General features: G+C 39.5%; 1 pseudogene across 1 annotated transcript, besides 1 other annotated feature; it reads left to right on the plus strand.

Annotated features, from left to right (window-relative positions):
* Positions 1–915: 915 nt before the first annotated feature.
* Positions 916–21695, plus strand: WHAMMP2 (WHAMM pseudogene 2; annotated as a pseudogene). Its single transcript, NR_026589.1, has 9 exons — positions 916–1518; positions 4443–4616; positions 8082–8232; positions 8930–9088; positions 9313–9482; positions 11043–11208; positions 14821–15007; positions 17802–17888; positions 18147–21695. The product of NR_026589.1 is annotated as a WHAMM pseudogene 2 (transcript).
* Positions 7703–8295: an enhancer, noted in NCBI's record as "NANOG-H3K4me1 hESC enhancer chr15:28989516-28990108 (GRCh37/hg19 assembly coordinates)". NCBI's record gives its function as "activates a minimal SCP1, AML or CMV promoter by ChIP-STARR-seq in naive H9 embryonic stem cells {active_cell/tissue: H9 hESC(naive)}" and the evidence as "EXISTENCE:reporter gene assay evidence [ECO:0000049][PMID:30033119]".
* Positions 21696–22034: the final 339 nt, after the last annotated feature.

The following is a 22034-nucleotide window of genomic DNA, read 5'->3' on the forward strand; positions in this document are numbered from 1 at the left end:
ATGTTTAAAGTACCCCATAGGATGAGGAAAAAATGGAAGAGTTAATTTAACAAGGATACAAAGCGTAAAAGATAGAGAAGAATAAGAGTTCAAATAAAATCGAATGAAAAGACACCATCTTGTGTAACTCTGTAGTTAATTGTGCATGTGTGCTATTTTTCATGACTTGGAGCACGTTATTTTTGGCCAAGAGCTTCCATTCTATCTATGGATATGCCAAAATTTTCCTATTTTAGATCTTCTAGTCTCCAACTCTCAAGATAAAAAACAAAAATCATTAAAACCTCTGACTGATATTGAATGCCTGCATAAAAATCTCCTCCCATCACCTTGCAACAGATGACTTGCTCATACACCTTTTTGACTACCACTCCCCATCAAGGGTTCTCTCCTTCGAGACGGCAGTAATTCTCTATGTATTTCATGTTATGTGCAAACTTTACTTTCAAAGAGTTGTTACCTATATTAATGTATTTACATCATTCACTTAATATATTTTCTCTATCAGTAAAATTGGTTTAGATATATTGGATTAGGATAGAACACGTCACAATTTTTCTCACCTTTATGATTTTTTTTTTTTAGTTGGACCCTTTTTCAGTTGGTGACAGTGTCAGAAATGAATTAAAGTTGTTAAGAATAGGTAAGGGTAAAGAGAAGGGTGTCCTTATGTATCAACTTTGCTTATTTAGTTTTTTCAAGTTCAGTAAGACCCTCCTCTCCCTTCAAGGAAGATGATTCCTAGGCACGTTTGTTATTTCTATCAAAACAGCTGAGGTTTTTTTTTTTCATTCATATTGTTAAAATACCAATTGTGGAGCGAAAAATGCTTCACCTGGGACTGTCCCCTGACAGGCGGTGCGACGAGGTCAGGCCCGCGCCCGCCAAGCCCTAGGGCCGCTGCCGCCGACGGCCATGGAGGACGAGCAGCCCGACAGCCTGGAGGGCTGGGCGCCGCTCCGGGAGGGCCTCTTCGCCGATCCCCAGAGGCACCGGTTGCGCTTCCTGGTGGCTTGGAACGGCGCGGAGGGCAAGTTTGCTGTGACTTGTCACGACCGCACCGCGCAGCAGCCGCAGCGGCGCGAGGGGGCCCGGCTGGGGCTGGAGCACAAGCCCGAGGCCGCCGTGTCCCCGCCCAGCTGGGCCGGCCGGCTCTCGGCCGCGGGGTTCCGCGGCGCGCGCCGGCAGCCAGCGGCGCTGTGGCCGCCTCTGGAACACTGCTTCCCACGGCTGCCGCCGGAGCTGGACGTGGGCGGCGGCGGGGCCTGAGGTCTGGGGCTCGGGCGGTGGGCGCTGCTCTGGCCGGCGCGCGTGGGCCCCGGCGAGGCGGCGCTGCAGGAGCTTTGCGGGCAGCTGGAGCGCTACCTGGGCGCGGCGGCCCACGGCTGTGGCGGCGCCACCGTGCGCGACGCTCTCTTCGCGGCTAAGGGCCGCGCGGCCGACTGCGAGAGCCCGCGCGAGTTTCGGGAGCGGGCCCTGCGCGCCTGATGGGTCGAGGCGGACGCGCGGCTGCGTCAGGTAAGCGAGGCCGGGCCGCCGGCGTTTGACCGCGCTTGGGTGGCCTGGGACCCTGTGGGAGGCTTCCCCGGCGCCGAGAGCCCTGGCTGACGGCTGATGGGGAGGAGCCGGCGGGCGGAGAAGGCCACGGGCTCCCCAGTACCCTCACCTGCGCGGGATCGCTGCGGGAAACCAGGGGGAGCTTCGGCAGGGCCTGCAGAGAGGACAAGCGAAGTTAAGAGCCTAGTGTACTTGCCGCTGGGAGCTGGGCTAGGCCCCCAACCTTTGCCCTGAAGATGCTGGCAGAGCAGGATGTTGTAACGGGAAATGTCAGAAATACTGCAAGCAAACTGAAAACAACCCATCCATGTAGGAAAGAATAACACGGACTACACGTAAACAATTCTAAGTCTGTGTCTGCGGGGACGTCGCAAGTGGGATAAAATGGTTTAAAGGAAGAAATGGCTTTTAGGAGTTAGGGTGTTTTGTTTTAAGTAATACAGACTTGGTCAAATGGAAAGCCGGTAGAAAGTGAGCTTTATTCATCAGTTTAACCGCATTAGTGCCCTTTTAAGCTTGAAAGAGGTAGTTTGAGAGAGTAATTGAGTGGTAAACTTACTGAACTTAGGGGACGGGGAAGTACATGTTCATAGAAGGGTTTAGGAGAAAGTATGCCTTCTAAATCCACACCCACGGTTTACTAAGCAGAGCCAGGCTGGAGTCTCGGCTCACTGCTCTTATTAACCTGAATGATATTTTTCTGTGCATTCTTTTGAGGAAGGGGAGGTGAAAAGAAGAATTCAGCCTAAGCTAAATATAGAATAAGCTTTCTAAATTAAAATGGTTTTATAAAAGGAGCTTGTTAGTGGGGTCATTTTTGTACTGTGAGCTTTATGTGTAAATGTCTACACACCCACTTAACGTGTTGATTTCACTTTAGACTATGAGGAAACCACAGGGGAGTTTCAGGCCAGTCAGCTTTTCATCTTCAACTTTATAACTTTCACCTGAGGATATGAGGAACCCACAGGGGAGTTTCAAAAATGGTATCATTTTGTATCAGACTTGTTTTTTAAACACTTGGTTTCTCACAGAGATAGGTGGTTTCTCCTTAAAATCGAACATTTATATGGTGTATTTTACTGTAGTTGCTATCAGAAAAGTTAGTTTTCCCAAATTTAAGTTCACTCTGGGGTACTATAGCATGAATGTAGTTCATTCTGTTGAGCTAGTTGTTCACGTTAGTGTAGTTCACATATTTATCTGGAACTCAAAAATGAGGGGTTGAGAGGGGAAGCTAAACTTCACATGTCCAAATATATAATTTTAATATTTACTTTATATTTAGAATAGAAAAGTAATTGATTCTAGAATTAGACCAATTGCTAGGATTGCTAGGATATATAAAATGAAGCTGAATGTTTTAACTCCGGAATTTTTCTGAATAGTCTAAGAAAGAAGGCTGAAATGTACCACTTGCCTTTTGACTTTTGCTTGTGTGTTTTAATTTTGTTCAGTGAGGCTTTCACTTAAAAAAAATGATAATATTATTACCTGGATAAAAAATACAGCTGAAAGTAGATCACTTTAGCCTTAAGCAGAAGGATGGAAATAGAAGACTTTAAGAATGTATTGGTTGAAAAAAATCTATATTATTTGATTTTATTTCTCTTCTTGTGGGAGTAAAATAATTTCCAACCAAATCAGTCCACCTAGATTATACACTGTTCAGTTTGCTTTCTGCCCTGCAGCACAAGCAATAACCAGCAGAGACCGGAACCACAGCTGAGGCTCTGTAAATGAGTTGACTGCTAAGGACTTCATGGGAATATTAACCTGGGGCATTAAGAGAATCAACATGCTAAAGTACTTGGAGACAGCTCTGTAATGTTTTATGAGATTTTGTTTAGTTGAGTTTTGTTTTGTTTTTTGAGAGAGTCTTGCACTGTCGCCCAGGCTGGAGTGCAGTGGTGCCATCTTGGCTCACTGCAAGCTCTGCCCCCCGGGTTCACGCCATTTTCCTGCCTCATCCTCCCCAGTAGCTGGGACTGCAGGCGCCCGCCACCACGCCCGGCTAATTTTTTGTATTGTTAGTATAGACAGGTTTCACCGTGTTAGCCAGGATGGTCTCGTTCTCCTGACCTTGTGATGCGCCTGCTGTGGCCTCCCAAGGTGCTGGGGTTACAGGCGTGAGCCACCACGCCTGGCCCTTATGAGCTTTTAAAAAGGAATACAGCCTCACAAAACCTTTACAGTCAGAAAAGTCAAATGAAAAAATATCCACAACCTCAAACCTTCTTTTGGGTCCTTTTCGCTGCATACTTAGTGCACAGTTGAGATTAAATTTTATACTCTGCCTCTCCATTTAATTATAAAAGTCTCTTTTTATTTTTGAAACGGAGTTTCATTCTTGTTGCCCAGGCTGGAATGCAATGGCACTGTCTCGGCTCACCGCAACCTCCGCCTCCCAGGTTCAAGCGATTCTCCTGCCTCAGCCTCCCCAGTAGCTGGGATTACAGGCATGCGCCACCACGCCCAACTAATTTTGTATTTTTAGTACAGACAGTGTTTCTCTATGTTGGTCAGGCTGGTCTCGAAGTCCTGACCTCAAGTGATCCACCCGCCTCGGCCTCCCAAAGTGCTGGAATTACCGGCATGAGCCACCGTGCCTGGCCAAAAGTCTCCATATTATTAAACAATCTTCAGAAGCACAGTGCTGAATGACTACACTAATAATATTCTGCCATGGATATATCATAATTTTCTTAACAATTCTTGTTTTATTGGGCATTTTTGATGGAGAATGATAACATTTTCGTATTTAATCAATATTTTAAATTGATGTATTGAAAGTTGAGAACATGAAGGTTTCTTTCGTTTAGCTTTGTTTGTTGGGTATGTATTACACTGTCCTGACTTGAGCTTTATTCACATTTGCTCTCTAGGTTATTCAAGGACACGGAAAAGCCAACACCATGGTAGCATTAATGAAAGTTTACCAAGAGGAAGATGAAGCCTACCAGGAATTAGTTACCGTGGCAACCACGTTCTTCCAGTACTTATTGCGGCCATTTAGGGCTATGCGAGAAGTTGCAACTTTATGTAAGCTTGATATTTTGGTTTTTTTTTTAATTTTTATTTTATCACATTTACTATTTGTCATATATTATTTCTTTATTTACACTTAATCTTCAATCTCTGTACTTTGTTTGGGTTTGTTTGGGTTTACTCTTATGTTTATTTACTTATTTATTGATAGAGATGAGGTTTTGCCATGTTGCTCAAGCTCGTTTCTAACTCCTGAGCTCAAGCAGTCTGCCCACCTCGGCCTCCCAAAGCGTAGCATTACAGGCATAAGCCACTATGCCTAGTTCACCCTCGTGTTTAAATATTGAATTTATATTTAAAATTGATAGAAAATGAAGACATTTACGTTGGTCATCTTAATAGCTTAAGATTCCTACAAATTTTAAAGAGTTAAATGTTTTTTCTGGCGATGAATTTTTTTTTTTGTTTTTTGAGATAGGGTCTCTCTTTGTCAGCTAGGCTAGAGTGCAGTGGCACAATCTTGGCTCACTGCAACCTCCTCCAGGTTCAAGTGACTCTTCTGCCTCAGCCTCCTGAGTAGCTGGGATTACAGGTGTGCACTACCATGCCCAGCTAACTTTCTTTGTATTTTTAGTAGAGACGGGGTTTCACCATGTTGGCCAGACTGGTTCGAACTCCTGGCCTCAAGTGAGCCACCCGTCTCAGCCTCCCAAAGTGCTGGGATTACAAGCGTGAGCCACTGCGCCCAGCCTGATGAATTGTTTTTGATGTGATGTTTATTTGCTTCAGTTGTTTTCCTCTAAGGACTCATGCAGATTTCTTAAAATAGGATGAAAATTTAAATAGCAGGACCCTAGATTGTAATTCAGTAACTTAAATTTTAGTAAATACAGTTATCGCTCTTGCTTCATTGAGCCATCAAACATCCTTGTGACACCATTCAGGAAAGGCATTCTTATTCCAGTGTTACAAATGAATCTAGAGTCCGGAGTTGTTAAATAGCTTGCCTTGGGTCTCAACAACGGGAATCAGAAGACACCTAAGAGATCTCTTGATTTCTGCCCCCTGCACTGGGCCATCTTTCCACATATAATCTCATGCCCCTGCCAGATGATTGTACTATAAAAATAGTATCACATTTAGATGAAACTCATGCCACCCTAACCTGTGGATAAAGTTGTTCTGTTCATTATTTTGAAAGTCTATTATTTGGAGAGTCTACGTCTCGCATATATTTTGCTTTCTTCTTCTTTTTTTTTTTTTTTTGAGATGGAGTTTCGCTCTTGTTGCCCAGGCTGGAGTGCAATGGCGTGATCTCGGCTCACGGCAACCTCCACCTCCTGGATTCAAGCGATTCTTCTGCCTCAGCCTCCCGAGTAGCTGGGATTACAGGCATGTGCCACCTTGTCCAGCCCGGCTAATTTTGTATTTTTTTAGTAGAGACGGGGTTTCTTCATGTTGGTCAGGCTGGTCTCGAACTCCTGACCTCAGGTGATCTGCCTGCCTCAGGCTCCCATTGTGCTGGGATTACAGGCATGAGCCACCGCACCCAGTCTATAATTTTCCTTTCTTTAAGTAACAGCTGTTTTAAAATACCATTCACAGACCATATATATATATATATATATATATATATGTAAAATCTGTATATATATGTATACATATATGTATGTATATATGCATGTATATGTACATACATATATGTATATATGCATGTATACGTACATACATATATGTATATATGCATGTATACGTACATACATATATGTATATATGTATGTGTATATATGTATACATATATATAATCTGTATATGTATGTATGTATATGTGTATATATGTATATATACGTATATATGTATATGTATATATGTATGTGTATATGTATATATACATATATACGTATATATGTATGTATACGTATATACGTATATATGTATATATATGCATATATATATAAAATATATCTACATATATAAAAAGATGTACAATTCAGTGATTTTTAGTATATTGAAAGTTGCACAATGATCATTACTATGTAATTTCAGGACATTTTCACCCCCAAAAGAAACCCTGTACCCATTAGTCACTGCCAGCCCTGGGCAACCACCAATCTACTTTCTGTCTCTGTGGATTTCCCTACTCTGGACATAGCAACAGCATTATTGAATATGTGGTCCTTTCACTCAGCACAATGTTTGCAAGGCTAATCCATGTTGTAGCAAATACCAGGATTTCATTTCTTTTTATTGCTCAGTGATATTCATTGTATGGATATATTGCATTTTATTCATCAGTTGATGGACATTTGGGTTGTTTCCACTTTTTGGCTATCATGAATAATTCTGCTATGAATGCTTGTGTGTGAGTTTTTGTGTAGACATATCTTTTCATTGCTCTTGTGTACGTACTGAGGAGTAGGATTGCTGGGTCCTGTGATTACTCAGTGTTTAACCTTTTGAAAGACGCCAGATGGTTTTCCAAAGTGGGTGCATCATTTATATTCCCAGAAGCAGTAAATGAGGGTTCCAATTTGTCCACATTATCACCAACACTTGTAATTGTGTGTCTCTTTGGTTACAGCCATCCTAGTGGGTGTGAAGTGGTATCTCGTTTTGATTTGTAATTCCTTGTCGGCTAACTTGTACATATTTCTTATGCTTTGTAGAAGAAAAATTGCATATTGGATGACATAGCTGTACATGTCTTAGTTCAGGCTGTTGTAACAAAGTACTGTAGATTAGTGGCTTATAAACAACAAAACTTTTTTCTCACAGTTCTGGAGGCTGGGTAGTCTAAGATCAAGGTGCTGGCAGATCCAGTGTCTTGTGAGGGCCAGTTTCTTAATTTGTAGATGACTGTCTTGCTGTGTCTTCACATGGTGAAGAGCAGAGAGAGAGATCCTGTGTCTCCTCTTCTTTTTATAAGGGCATTAATCCCAATTTTCTTGAGGTCTCCACCCTCATGACCTAATTACCTCCCAAAGGCCCCATCTTCAAATCCCATCACACTGGGGATTTAGGCTTCAACATATGCATTTTGGGGGGACCCAAACATTCAGTCCAATACCAGTACATGTTATAAGCATGAATATACAGATACTGTCTTTTAGGTGATAATATTACATATCCCTAAAAGAAATGATAACAACAGCTAACACTTAAGTGCTGTTTTCCAGGCCCTGTGCTGAGTGCTTGACAACACAGATCACTCATTTAAACAATTGTGTATTATTATTAATAGAGAGAAGCATAAGTTGACAACATTCCTCTCTAGAAAAAGTTATTCTAGGCATGTGAAGTGAAAGTAGTTTTTTTTCCCCCCCACTTTATGCCCCAGAGGGTCCTTTTGTCTTCCAGGTGGTGCTCAGCTTAGAGCCTTATTCATATGCAGTAAGGGACTGCTGAATGAATGAAAATTTAACTGACTGAGTAGTAGTGTAGTTAAATTAATCCATGTGACCAATTTCCTTTCAATTTCCTAATGGTTCTACATAACTATTAGCTCTTACTAAGATAATTTTCCCTTCTGTCTGTAGAAGTCCTTGGATGAGGATGACCTAGGTCCTAGAAGGGTAGTTGCCCTGGAGAAAGAAGCTGAAGAATGGACCAGACGGGCTGGAGAAGCTGTCGTCTCTATTCAAGATATCACAGTGAATTATTTTAAGGAGACAGTAAAAGCATTAGCAGGTGATAATCTAAAAAAATGCTATACGCAGATACGTGTAATTGATTGTCATTTTATTCAAATACCATTTGAGTCCCTCTTACGCACTAGGCACTGTGTTTTCTAGGTGGCGAGAATTCAGTGTCAAGCATTAAGAGACATTGTACAGTCTGGTGAAGGGAGAGAAATCTTAATTATCTATTCACTGAAGCACACAGAAAATGGCAGTGACAATAAATGGCACAAAGAAGAGAGACATGGGGCTCTGAGGGTCTGTGAGAGAGAAATTGGGCTTGATCAGCGTGGTCACTGAAGGCCTCTGAGAAGTGGCGCTTGCCCCAATATCTGAAGGGTAAATGGAAATTGAGAGAATAGAAAAAGTGAGGAGTGTTCCGGGCAGAAGGAATAGCACTGGCGAAGGTCCCCTGGCTTGAGGGAAGTTGGCAAATAGGAGCTTACAGAAAACCTGCGGGGCTGGATCGCAGAGAGTGCAGGACAATGTGGTATGAGGGAGAATGCTGGCAAGACAGGCAGGGATCAGACCGTGCAGGGGCTTGTGGGCTGGGTGAAGGACTTTTTTTCAGTCTTAAATAATTGTTGATAAAAACACCAAATAGGAAACAACTTAATGTCTGTCAGTTTAAGTTATGGTACATTCATAAAAGAGAAAACTACATAGCTATTAAGCATGATTCTTGATTTTTTTTTTATAAATGGCAGGAGTTTCTGATATATTGCACAGAATCAACAAGATATAAAGCAGAATGATGATCCTGGTTTTTTGGTCAAACTATCCATATGAGCCTGTCTGTCTAGCTAGTCATAGAAACAATATGGAAGCAAGTGTGCCAAAATATAAGAAGCAGTTGCCTCAACTAGGTGAGATCATGACTTATTATTGTCCTTTTAAAAATTGAATACCTAAAATTGTATATTAATGACCATGTATTATTTTTATAATAATAAAAAGTTAATAAAACAAAATTTCTTTTAAAAAAGATGTTCTGCAGGTAGTATGGAGGCAATAAAAAAAGAATTAGCTCATGATCAATGTTTCCCTTTTTAATGAGGTGTAATTATATTTTATTTTTATAATCCAACAGGAATGCAAAAAGAAATGGAACAGGATGTGAAGAGACTTGGCCAGGCTGCCTGGGCCACAGCAATTCCCAGGTTGGAAAAACTTAAGCTAATGCTAGCTCAAGAGACTCTGCAACTCATGAGAGCGAAAGAATTGTATTTAAATTGCAAAAGAGCTGAAATTCAGGGAAAGGTAAGACAAAGATAAACGTAACTTTGTTTTAAAAATACACTTTTATTTATTTTTTATTTTTATTTTTTTTTTTGAGACGGAGTCTCGCTCTTTTGCCTAGGCCGGACTGCAGTGGCACGATCTCGGCTCACAGCAAGCTCCGCCTCCCGGGTTCATGCCATTCTCCTGCCTCAGCCTCCTGAGTAGCTGGGGCTACAGGCGCCCGCCACCGCGCCCAGCTAATTTTTTGTATTTTTAGTAGAGACGGGGTTTCACCGTGTTAGCCAGGATGGTCTCGATCTCCTGACCTCGTGATCCGCCCACCTTGGCCTCCGAAAGTGCTGGGATTACAGGTGTGAGCCACCGTGCCCCGCCCCACTTTTATTTTTTAAAAATTTTGTATAAATAAAGGATACAAGTGCAGTTTTGTTCCATGGATATATTGTGTAGTGGTGAAGTTTGGGCTTTTAGCGTAATCATCACCTACATAATGTAATTGTACCCATTAAATATTTCTCATCCCCCCTCCCACCCTCTTACTCTTCTGAGTCTCCAGTGTCTGTTATTCCACACTGTCTGTGTATACACTACTTAGCTCCCACTTATAAGTGAGACCATGTGGTAAAGCACACTTGTATTTTTAGATAGCACTTTTCTTTCCAGGCATTGTTAAAGAGCTGCTTTTCTTCACTTATTCCAACACCATCTCCTATGGAAGGTTAGACATAAAGTTTTCCTTTGGTTAAGATGTTTCAAAATACCACACTGTAGGATTCACTTTATAGTAACACCAAGCCCAGTATTGAAGTGGGTACTGTACTTGAAAATCAATCCAGCAATGTTTTCAGTACAGCTCTAAAATAATCAAAGAGATACTTCCCTGAAGGATCTTAGACACTTAAGTTTTTTCCTATAATCTTATGACTTTAAAGCAGAAAACACTGTAAACACCTGTCTTAGTTGGCTAAGGCTGCTATAACAATATTAAATATCACAGATTGGGTGGCTTCAACAACGGACATGTATTTCTCACAGTTCTGGAGGCTGGGAAGTCCAAGATCAAGGTGCCTGCAGATTCACTGTCTGGTGCGGATCCTCTTCCTGTCTAGTAGACAGCTGCCTTCTTAACTGAGTGCTCATATAGCCTTTCTTCTGTGTGTATGTTTGGAGAGAAAGAAAGTGATCCCTGTCTTTCTCTTCTAATAAGGGCACTAATCCCATGATGGGGGTGCTATCCTTTTGACATAATCTGAACCTAATTACTTCCAAAGGACCCACCTCCAAATAACATCACATTGGGAGTTACAGTGTCAACATATGAATTTTGGGGGGACACCGATATGCAATACATAATAATACCTCATTGCCATTTATGTTTCTCAAAACCTAAATGTTTTTCTCTGTTTCAAGGATGGGATAAAGTATTAGCATCACTAGATGAAATGAAAAAGTGTTTCTTTCCTATTTGCTCTTTTATATTTAGTACGGAACAAGGAATAGAAAATAGCTAGAATGCTTCTAAAGTTTGTTTTTAATATACTATTTGTTTTAACTTATTTTTCTTTTTTCTATGAAAATAAGATGGAAGATCTTCCAGAACAAGAAAAAAATATAAATGTTGTAGATGAATTAGAAATACAATTTTATGAAATTCAGTTAGAACTATATGAAGTTAAATTTGAGATATTAAAAAACAAAGAAATACTGCTTACTACACAGTTGGACTCTCTTGAAAGACTTATAAAAGGTAAAGTTTTTATTTAAGTATATAGATTACAATGTTTATAAATTTAAGGAAATACAGACCATATTATCAATTACTTTTTGTAAACTGTAACATCTGAAAATTTCCTAAAGTTTTCCTTCAGTGGTTTATTATTCAAATAATATATTCATTGTTAGCACATAGCAAAACAAAGAAAGAAAAATGATTATTACCCCAATCCCATCATCTAGAGATGCTCAATGGTTGGCTGGGCACAGTGGCTCAGGCCTATAATCCCAGCACTTTGGGAGGCTGAGGCGGGCAGATCACTTGAGGTCAGGAGTTCCAGACCAGTCTGACCAACATGGTGAAACCCCGTCTCTACTAAAAATACAAAAATACTAAACCCTGTTTCTACTAAAAATACAAAGTCCAATGTGGTGGCACGTGCCTGTAATCCCAGCTACTTGGGAGGCTGAGGCAGGAGAATGGCTTGAACCCGTGAGGTGGAAGTTTCAGTGAGCCAAGATCGTGCCACTGCACTCCAGCCTAGAAGACAGAGCAAGACTCCGTCTAAAAAAGAAAAAAAAAAAGACGGATACTTAGTGGTAACAATTTGCTGTATAACTTTGTAGATTTCAAAATATGCTGATATGTAAAAATATAAATTTTTAACCAAAACTACATAACCAGTTCAGTAACATCTTTTTTAAAATTTTTTAATGTTTAGGGGTGCATAGCAGATACATATATTTATGGGTTACATGAGATATTTTGACACAGGCATACAATGCATAATAGTCTCTTTTTCATTTAATACATAATAATTGTCTTTCTGTTTCAGAAATAATAAAAGTATCAAAATTTTAATGGCTGCATAGTATTCCATTATATGGATATACCGTGATTTCCAAATTTCCGCTGTTTTGAACAGTAGTGTAGTGAACTTTCCTTTACACATGTCTTTGAGTATAGGACAGATTATCTCCTTGGAATAAATATCTAAGGATGGAATTACTGGGTCAAGGGCAATGTATATTTTACATTTTGCTACGTAACAATACAGCAGTCATCTGAGATACATTTTTCCTCACCTCCGTATTATTTTCTGATTTCTAAATTTCATACTATGTAGTGGCCCTCTAGATAGGTCGTACATTTAAAATGACGCTCCCAGGCTGGGCGTGGTGGCTCACGCCTGTAATCTCAGCACTTTGGGAGGCTGAGAGGGGGCAGATCACTTGAGGTCAGGAGTTCAAGACCAGCTTGGCCAACGTGGTGAAACCCTGTCTCTACTAAAAATACAAAAATTAGCCGGGCGTGGTGGTGGGTGCCTGCAATCCCAGCTACCTGGGAGGCTGAGGCAGGAGAATCGCTTAAACCTGGGAGGTTGAGATTGCAGTGAGCTGAGATGGCACCACTGCACTCCAGCCTGGGCGACAGAGTAAGACTCTGTCTCAAAAAAAAAAAGAAAAGAAAAAAGACGCTCCCATCAGCAGAATATGAGTGTGTATGTTTCCCAGACTCATGCCATTCTTTTGCATTTTTGCTTACTTGACAGAGAAAATGGCAGTCTTCCAATTTTCATTTATTTAATTATGAGTGATTATTGAACAAAATTTTGTATGTTTACAAGCCATTTGTACTTATTTTATGAAATGCCTATTCATAGTCTTTGTCCATTTTTCTTTGGAATATTTCCTTTCAACATTAAGAATAATGTCCTCTATTGTCTGTCATATGTTGCAAATAATCTCTCCTTGTCATTTGCGTTTTCTTGCCTTTCAGAAATATTTAAGTTTTATGAAGTCGTGTTTATCGATTTTTTTCCCCTATGGCTTCTGCTTTTAGTATTATGTCTGGCAATAGTCTCCTATCCCAAAATTATGTCAATATATACTTATGTTTTCTTTCAGTATGTTTATGATGTTATTTTTTAAAACATTTAATTCTTTAGTCCAGGTGGAATTTATTTTGATTGTGGTAGGAATTGAACCTTTCCCTCAAATTGTTAAGCAGTCCCAATCACTGATTTTAAAAACATTTTCCCTAAATGTTTAACATTTCTCCAGTTAAACCTTAGATTGACTTGGGTCTGTTTCTGAGTTGTTCTCCTCCATTGGTTCGTGAGTGGCTTCTGCTGCTGGCTCCATACTGTTCCCACGACTGTCTTGGAGGCACATTTTAGGGTCTGGTAAGGCAAGTACCCCCCACATTACTTCACAAGTTTTCTGACTATTTTCACTCGTTTATTCTTCCAGATGAAATTTAGAATCAAGTTCAAAACAAAAAACTCTTTGGAATTTTGATTGTGATTTTGCTTAAAATTAGAGATTACTTTGGGGAGAATAGTGGTCTTTGCAATTTTGAATCTTCCTACCCAAGAACTTGGTATGTCTCTCTCCATTTATTTAAATCTTTTTTCCTAAAGTTCCTCCAAGTTTAATAAATTTCTTCACATAGATCCTGAACTTTTAGTTTAATCCTGAGTATTCAGAATTTTTTTCAGTAGTTTCAGGTTATAAGCATTTTACATATTTAGGAAAAAAATTACATTAAAAAACAAGTTAATCTGGAAGGATGCATGCCAAATTGTTCATAATGTTTTTCCTCTGAGAATGACTCAGAAGGTTTGGGGAAGGAGCAATAGAATTTCACTGTTTATTTGATGTACTTCGGGTGGGTTTGAATTTGTTACAGTAAGCATGACTTTTAAAAAATCAATATGTAATCAAGATTAAATATCACTAAGGCATCTTAATAATATATTGCTGGTAGAATATAAGTTGCCTTTCTGGAGGGCAGTGTGGCAATGGGTATCAAGATCCTTAAACACTTATCTGCTAAGGAAGTGATAAAAAGCATACACAAAGATTTATACAGAGATGTTCATCACAGTGAAATGAATAATAATGGAACATTGGAACAGCCTAACAACATGGATTGCTTAAATTAGAGAATACTATGCTGCCATTAAAATTTATCTTTTTTAATTTTTTTTTGTTTTTGGAGATGGAGTCTTGCTCTGTTGCCCAGGCTGGAGTGCAGTGGCACGATCTCGGCTCACTGCAACTTCTGCCTCCCAGGTTCATGCTGTTCTCCTGCCTCAGCCTCCTGAGTAGCTGGGATTACAGGCACACGCCACTGTGCCCAACTAGTTTTGTATTTTTAGTAGAGATGGGGTTTTGCCATGTTGGCCAGGCTGGTCTTGAACTCCTGACCTCAGGTGTGCAGCCTGCCTTGGCCTCCCAAAGTGCTGGGATTACAGGCGTGAGCCACCGCACCTGGCCTAAAAATTTATTTCCATCCCATGGAAAGTGTTCTTTTAGAACTCCATTGATACGTGTAGCTATGTAAGTAGTATGTGTGTGTGTGTGCATGTGTATATATACGTATGTCTATACAGGTATATATACATGCATATACTACTTACATGTATATACACACATGCTACTTACATACATGTGTATAGTCATGTATATATACACATGTGTATATGTATATTACATTTATACACATAGATTTTTTATATGTTAATAGTGGTTCTCAGTGGTGGGATTACAAGTGATCTTTATTTTCCTTACATTTAAAAAAATTCAATGTATTTTTACAAATAATAAAATATGTTTTAAACAATCATTAATACCTTTTTAGAAAAACAGGATGAAGTTGTCTATTACGATCCATGTGAAAGTCCAGAGGAACTTAGTCATTGACTGTGGTGGGGCTGCAGGACGATAAGAATTCGGAAGTGAAAGAACTCAGAAGGCAGTGCCAGCAGCTGGAGTCTATTAAACGGGGCAGGATCTGTGTCAAAAGAGCTTCTCTCCAGAGTAGAAAGGTGGGTACGCTCAGAGCAGCTTTCTTTTCTTTTCTCTTCCAGAGATTTATTCTTGTATGAAGGATAAAGAGGTATTGAAATAAGGTTTTTACCAACACAGTGATTAATTTTTTGTGTGCTTATGAACTTATCCATGGCTATAGTTAAAATGATTTTTAATATTTTTCTTAAAAATATTATTTTTTTCTTTTGGGTTTTAAGCATTTAGCAAATCTCAAGGTTTTAATTTATTCATTCAACAACTATTTGTTGAATTCCCACTGCATACACAGGCACTTTATTTTTATTTTTTTTGAGACAGAGTCTTGCTCTGTCACCCAGGCTGGAGTGCGGAGGCATGATCTTGGCTCACTACAACTTCTGCCTCCTAGGTTCAAGCAATTCTCGTGCCTTAGCCTGCCAAGTAGCTGGGTTTACAGGCACGTGCCACCACGCCCAGCTAATTTTTGTATATTTTGTAGAGACGGGGTTTCGCCATGTTGGCTAGGCTCGTCTTGAACTCCTGACCTCAAGTGATCCGCCCACCTTGGCCTCCCAAAGTCCTGGGATTACAGGTGTGAGCCACCACCCCCGGACCACAGGTACTTTAAAAACCACAATAGGTAGAAACTCCATTTCTAATAACCAGCTATAATAATTCTAAATATATTTTAGTACACAAAACAATTACAGATAACAATATTCAGCTCACCTCAGACCTTGTATTTGGTGATTTTTTTTCTTAATTTTTAAAAATCCATGAATACATAAAAAGATAACACTAAGAAATTTAATTTTTTCTGACAGAAAAGGAAGCTTCTATATATCATTTTTATACAGACTTTTATTTGTATTTACTCATATTTACTATACTTTTCTCCCTTTTTTTTTTTTTGATGCGCAGTCTTGCTCTGTCTCCCAGGCTGGAGTGCAGTGGCGTGATCTCGGTTCACTGCAACCTCCACCTCCCAGGTTCAAGCGAATCTGCTGCCTCAGCCTCCTGCATAGCTGGGATTACAGGTGCCTGCCACCAAGCCTGGCTAATTTTTGTATTTTTAGTAGAGACGGGGTTTCACCATGTTGGTCAGACTAGCCTTGAATTCCTGACCTCGAGCAATCCACCTGCCTCAGCCTCCCAAAGTGCTGGGATTACAGGCGTGAGCCACTGTGCCGAGCCTACTATACTTTTCTTGTTAGAATTAAGAAAACATGAAAATTGTGACTTTTGTAGCTTACAAAAATGTTAATTACTCTTCCATGTAAATACAAATACTTAAAAAAAACTTGGCTAGGTGCTGTGGCTTATGGCTGTAATCCCAGCACTTTGGGAGGTTGAGGTGGGAGAATCACTTAAGGCCAGAAGTTCGAGACCAGGGACAACACAGGGAGACCTCATCTCTGTGGTGCGCACGTATAGTCCCAGCTACTCAAGAGGCTGAGGCAGGAGGATTGCTTGAGGCCAGGAGGTTGAGGCCTCAGTGAGCTGTGATTGTACCACTGCACTCCAGCTAGGGTGATAGAACAAAACCCTGTCTCTAATAAAAATTAAAAATAAAAAAATTTGTTAGAAGAGTATATTCTTTGCATGTTCGTGTTTAAGAATTGTACTTCTGGATTTAGGAACTGTTATTCAGAGGATTTGAAGATCTACAGGCATTTGCCCTTTGCTCCACATTTCAGAAAACCCATGAGCCCCAAGAGGAGTCTCCTTTGGCACTCCCATGGTGCTGTGGATGAACAGATGCCTCCACCTCCTTGGCAGTGTTATATGTATATGTATATAAAATGCTCCTGTGCCTTCTCTTATCCAGACTTGGAGCATTAACCTTCACTCTCAAGATATAATCACTCCCCCTACCCCATTTAGAGGAGCTCTTTCCACTGATTCTGGAAATGTTGGAATTTGGAAGGCACTCGGTTAATAGAATGGTAGTTGAGGTGAGCTCTCAACTTGGGTTCAGATCGCAGTCTGGCCACTTAGGTAGTAGTCATGTGACATTAGGCAAATTACTTAAATCTCTTTTGGGCTCACAGTTTTCTCCTCTGTTAAAAGAGGATGATAGATCAGGCACGGCACCCGTAATCCCAGCTACTTGGGAGGCTGAGGCAGGAGAATCGCTTGAACCCAGGAGGCGGAAGTTGCAGTGAGCCGAGATCATGCCATTGCACTCCTCCAGCCTGGGCAACAAGAGCAAAACTCAGTCTCAAAAAAAAAAGATAGTGGTAATAATACAAATTTCATGTGACGATAGAGTAGCATAAGGCATGAAAAGTATTTATCACTGAAGCTAAAACCTACTCAATAAATGTTAGTATTATCTGTGAGTATTACTGTATTATTTTTTACATAGATTAAGGATTTTATGTATGTATAGCATATTATATATTGGTATAGTGAGTGGTTAAGCACAGGTGAAACACAGTTATAACAATTTTTCAGTTGCTCTGCGTTTGTAGGTATGCTTGGAAATGTAATTAGTATTTATAATGTTATGGGGAAATGTGTTTAAAACAATCACATTAAAACATTGTTGGGACACATCCCATTTAAGAATGGGGGCTGCCTGTGTGTCCTCTCATGGTTGGCGGATTGTTTTCACCTCTTAAAGCACTCTGCTGGGAACAAATTATTTCCATAAGCAGCCAGGCAACTCTCATCATAGACTGTGGAGGAGAGTACCATTGGGCCGCACCAGAACTAATATTAATGAATGCCTTACACTACGCCCAAATGCAGTGCTTTCTTCTTTTAACCTTTTATGCTATACCAGGGTAACACTAAAAACCATGTAGGTGATTTGTATTATTCCACCAGGATCAGTGCAAAGAAAATCATTGGCTCAGATTGCAACAGGCTGAAGAAAGCATAAGATATTCTCGTCAGCATCACAGTATTCAGATGGTGAGTGTCCTCCGAAGGAAAATGTTCTATGTTTGTGTAGCGTGACATGCAGGCCTAGACTTGTGGAAACTGGAGTTGCGCTGCCCTGGACCTGCAGCTGTCAGCCAATTCACCTCCAGGCCTGCAGTCTGGGCGCAGTCTTGGGGTGGTAATGTTGGGGTACAGCCTCTTTCTTTGTCAGGACATTTTTATTGTATGCCACACATTTTTGTAATGTTGAGCAATTTACAAATATACATCTGCTTAAATATAGAAAAGAGACAAGATAAAAAGGAGCAAAAGAAAAAAGAATGGGTCAACCAAGAACGTCAAACACTCCAACGATTGAGAGCATTTAAAGATGTAAGTTCTATAAACAATCACCTCATCTACACTTCTGGGGAAATAAATGAAGACCGCTCTAAAGAGGAAAGTATTAAGAACAGGTCATTCAGAACATGAAACATTTAAAAAATAACATTATTTCTGGTATATCAATAAAAAGCAACAACAAAAATAGAATATCAGTGATTCAAAACCCATGATATAAAATAACTGCTGTTTTTAACATCACAACACGCTTGGGTTCCTGCTCTGCACTCTTCACTGAGTAGTCCTTACTGGCACTGGTGGTTTAGATTGGCAGGGAAAACTGAAAACTGTTCAACTCCCTTGACTTTAGCTGGCATTTCCTCTCATTTGTAATAAACAATTCTTTAAAATGTTATCCAGGCAGCATTGTGATATAAGTGTAGTGAAAGTGCCCAGTTAAAAGTAAAATGTGTTGTTGTTTTTTTTTGATATCTACAACTTTCTTTTTTCTTTTTTTTTAAAGTATATACTTAAGAGGATGATGTTATTTTTTTATGCCCTCTGTTCCAGGCCTACATTTGTATTTCCTCCACAAAATGATCCTCAGTCTGTAATTTTTGTTCTATTTGACTTTATTATTAGAGATAAATTCCTTTAATTAAAAAAAAGCTACTATGAAGGTTGAAAAAATAATTTTTTGGTTTTATTTTTAATTGACACATAATTGTACATATTTATGAGGTATAGTGTGATATTTTGAGGTATATAATATGGAATGATCAAATCAGGGTAATTAGCGTATCTATCACCTCAAACATTTATCTACAGGTAAATAGGTTTTTTAAAATAAAGTAAATAGGGAGTCTGGCACAGTGGCTCATGCCTATAATCCCAGCACTTTGGGAGGCTGAGGCGGGCGGATTGCTTGAGACCATGAATTTGAGACCAGGCTGGGCAACATGGTGAAACCCCAGCTCTCCTAAAAATACAAAAATTAGCTGGACATGGTGGTGCATGCCTGTAGTCCCAGCTACTTGGGAGGAAAAATACCAATTGTGCACATATTTTTGTAAAATTATACATAAACACTTTATTTTTTATGTCATTCTAAATAATTTTTTGTATGTTTCTATTTCCAAACGTTGTTTGGTAATATATAGAAATATGATTGATTTTGTTTATTGAGTTTGCATATAACCACATTACTAAACTCGCATATTGAGCATTTTAATAGGTTATTTTGAATACTTTTACATAGACTGTTGTCTGAAAATAGAAACAGGTTTATTTCTTCCTTTCTGATGTGGATGTCACTGATTTTTTTCCCTACATTACTGATCTGGCTAGGACTATCAGTATAAAGTTGAATATAAGTGGTAAAAGATCTGACTTCTTGCCTTGGACCCAGTTTTTAAATCAGTTGGAGAGTCACCATTAAGTGTAATTTAGTGGTAGTTTTGTTTGTTTTTTTTTTGTTTGTTTTGTAGATGCCCTCTATCAGGATAAGTTCCCTTTTCTCATTTTGCTGAGAGTTTTTATAAAGAATAGCTATTGAATTTTGTCAAATGCTTTTGCTGCATCTGCTGAAATGACACGTTTATTCTTCATCTACCTAATAATGTTGCAATTTATATCTGTTGAGCTTTGAATGTTGAACCAGCCTTGCATTCATGGTATAAATCACTTGTTTGTAAAGTATTGTTTTTAAATATTGCTAGATTTGATATCTTAGTATTGTATTTTTATATTTGTCTTCATGTGTTTTTGTTTTCTCATAAGTGTCTGTACCCCCCTTTTTTTTTCTTTAAAGAGAAATAATGAGAGAGATTGTCTCTCTTGAAGTTCTCAGTGCCTGTGCATTGCTGCCACTACACAGCTAGTATCATGACAGCAGCTTCAGAACCAGAGCTGGCTTCCAGGCAAGGCTGGGTGGGGAAGAAAGAGAAAAACAAAAGAATTATTTCTCTATGCCGAGACCAGCTCGGTCAGGGAGACCCTAACCTAGCGGTGCTAGAGGAATTAAAGACATAGACACAGAAATATAGAGGTGTGAAGTGGGAAATCAGGGGTCTCACAGCCTTCAGAGCTCAGCCACAAACAGAGATTTACCCACGTATTTATTAACAGCAAGCCAGTCATTAGCATTGTTTCTATAGATATTAAATTAACTAAAAGTATCCCTTATGGGAAACGAAGGGATGGGCCGAATTAAAGGAATAGGTTGGGCTAGTTAACTGCAGCAGGAGCATGTCCTTAAGGCACAGATCACTCATGCTATTGTTTGTGGTTTAAGAATGCCTTTAAGCGGTTTTCCACCCCGGGCAGGCCAGGTGTTCTTTGCCCTCATTCCAGTAAACCCACAACCTTCCAGTATGGGTGTTAGGGCCATTATGAACATGTTACAGTGCTGCAGAGATTTTATTTATGGCCAGTTTATGGCCAGATTTTGGGGGGCCTGCTCCCAACACTCTACATATGCTCCATCTTGCAGAGGCTTCATTCTTGGTTCTCTAGCTAAAAACAGTAGAAATTTTGCACACCTGGGTTAGAAAAAAAAAAAATAGCCATTAAACCCACCCCTGTTACAGGTCACTATTGGTATTTTGATTTTGCCTTCAATCCATCTGTTATTGTTTACTTTTAAGAGTCCTTGATAGTTGCTTTTTATGTCCAGAGTTTTAATTTCAGTCAGAAAGAGAAATAGGCCTTGGTGAGCATGCTTTGTCTTGGCTGGTGCCAGAAGTCAGTACTCAAATATTTTTAAAATAATTTTTAGTTGAATAACAAGTTAGACCTGTGTTTAGCTTTCTCATTGTTTTCCTAAAAATAGAAGAAAAGGTTTTAAATACTTTAACCACGAAATAATTTAAAGCAGGTTTAAAATAAACTCCTTCATTTTGCCTGTTCTATTACTCTGTTCTCACACTGCTAATAAAGACATACCCAAGACTGGTAATTTATAAAGTAAAGAGGTTTAATTGACTCACAGTTCCACATGGCTGGGGAGGCCTCCCAATCATGGCAGAAGGTGAATGAGGAGCAAAGTCACATCTTACATGGTGGCAGGCAAGAGAGAGAGCATGTGTGCAGGGGAATTCCCCTTTATAAAACCATCCAATCTCATGAGACTTATGCAGTCTCATGGGAGCAGCATGAGAAAGACTCACCTCCGTGATTCAGTTACCTCCCACTGTGTCCCTGCCACAACATGTGGGAATTGTGGGAACTAAAAATCAAGATGAGATTTGGGTAGGAACACAGTCAAACCATATCTCCTATATACATTCACACTAGCATTTTAGTTTTAGAACTAGTTCTATGTTACTATCTGAATTAATTTTTCCACAATTTTGTAAGGAAAAATAATGCGTTCTTTGAATTTCATGTGTAAATGATATTTTTAGTTTTGTGTCATTTTGTCAAATAAATTCTGAAAATCTTTGTATTGACAGTGTGTTATCTCTGCATAACCATATATGTATAAGAGTGCTCAATAAAAAGAATAAAGAGGAAACAGCACTGGATCTATACCTATACAAAACAAGCTACCAGCAGAGCCCACTGGGAGTGGTCATGATATAATCAGGAATGTTATATTCACACGTTGTAGATCTGCATATGAGAGGAGGGTTTGCAGATAGCAGATTCTAGAAAAGTTGTCTAATCAGACAGTAAATGAAGGTGTTGAAGCACTGAACAAAAATAAGCTGCTTTAATTACTCATAAGAGGGAAGTACAAGTCATTATTCCATCTGCCAATTTACAGACTGTAAGATACCCTTTAAAAGTAGCAGTAAGTAAACTCTTCATAAAAGTTAGACTGTATGACAAATCCACTGCCTTTCTTCTTTTGCA

The sequence above is a fragment of the Homo sapiens genome, chromosome 15 (genome assembly GCF_000001405.40).
Source record: "Homo sapiens chromosome 15, GRCh38.p14 Primary Assembly".
NCBI classification, from domain to species: Eukaryota; Metazoa; Chordata; class Mammalia; order Primates; family Hominidae; genus Homo; species Homo sapiens.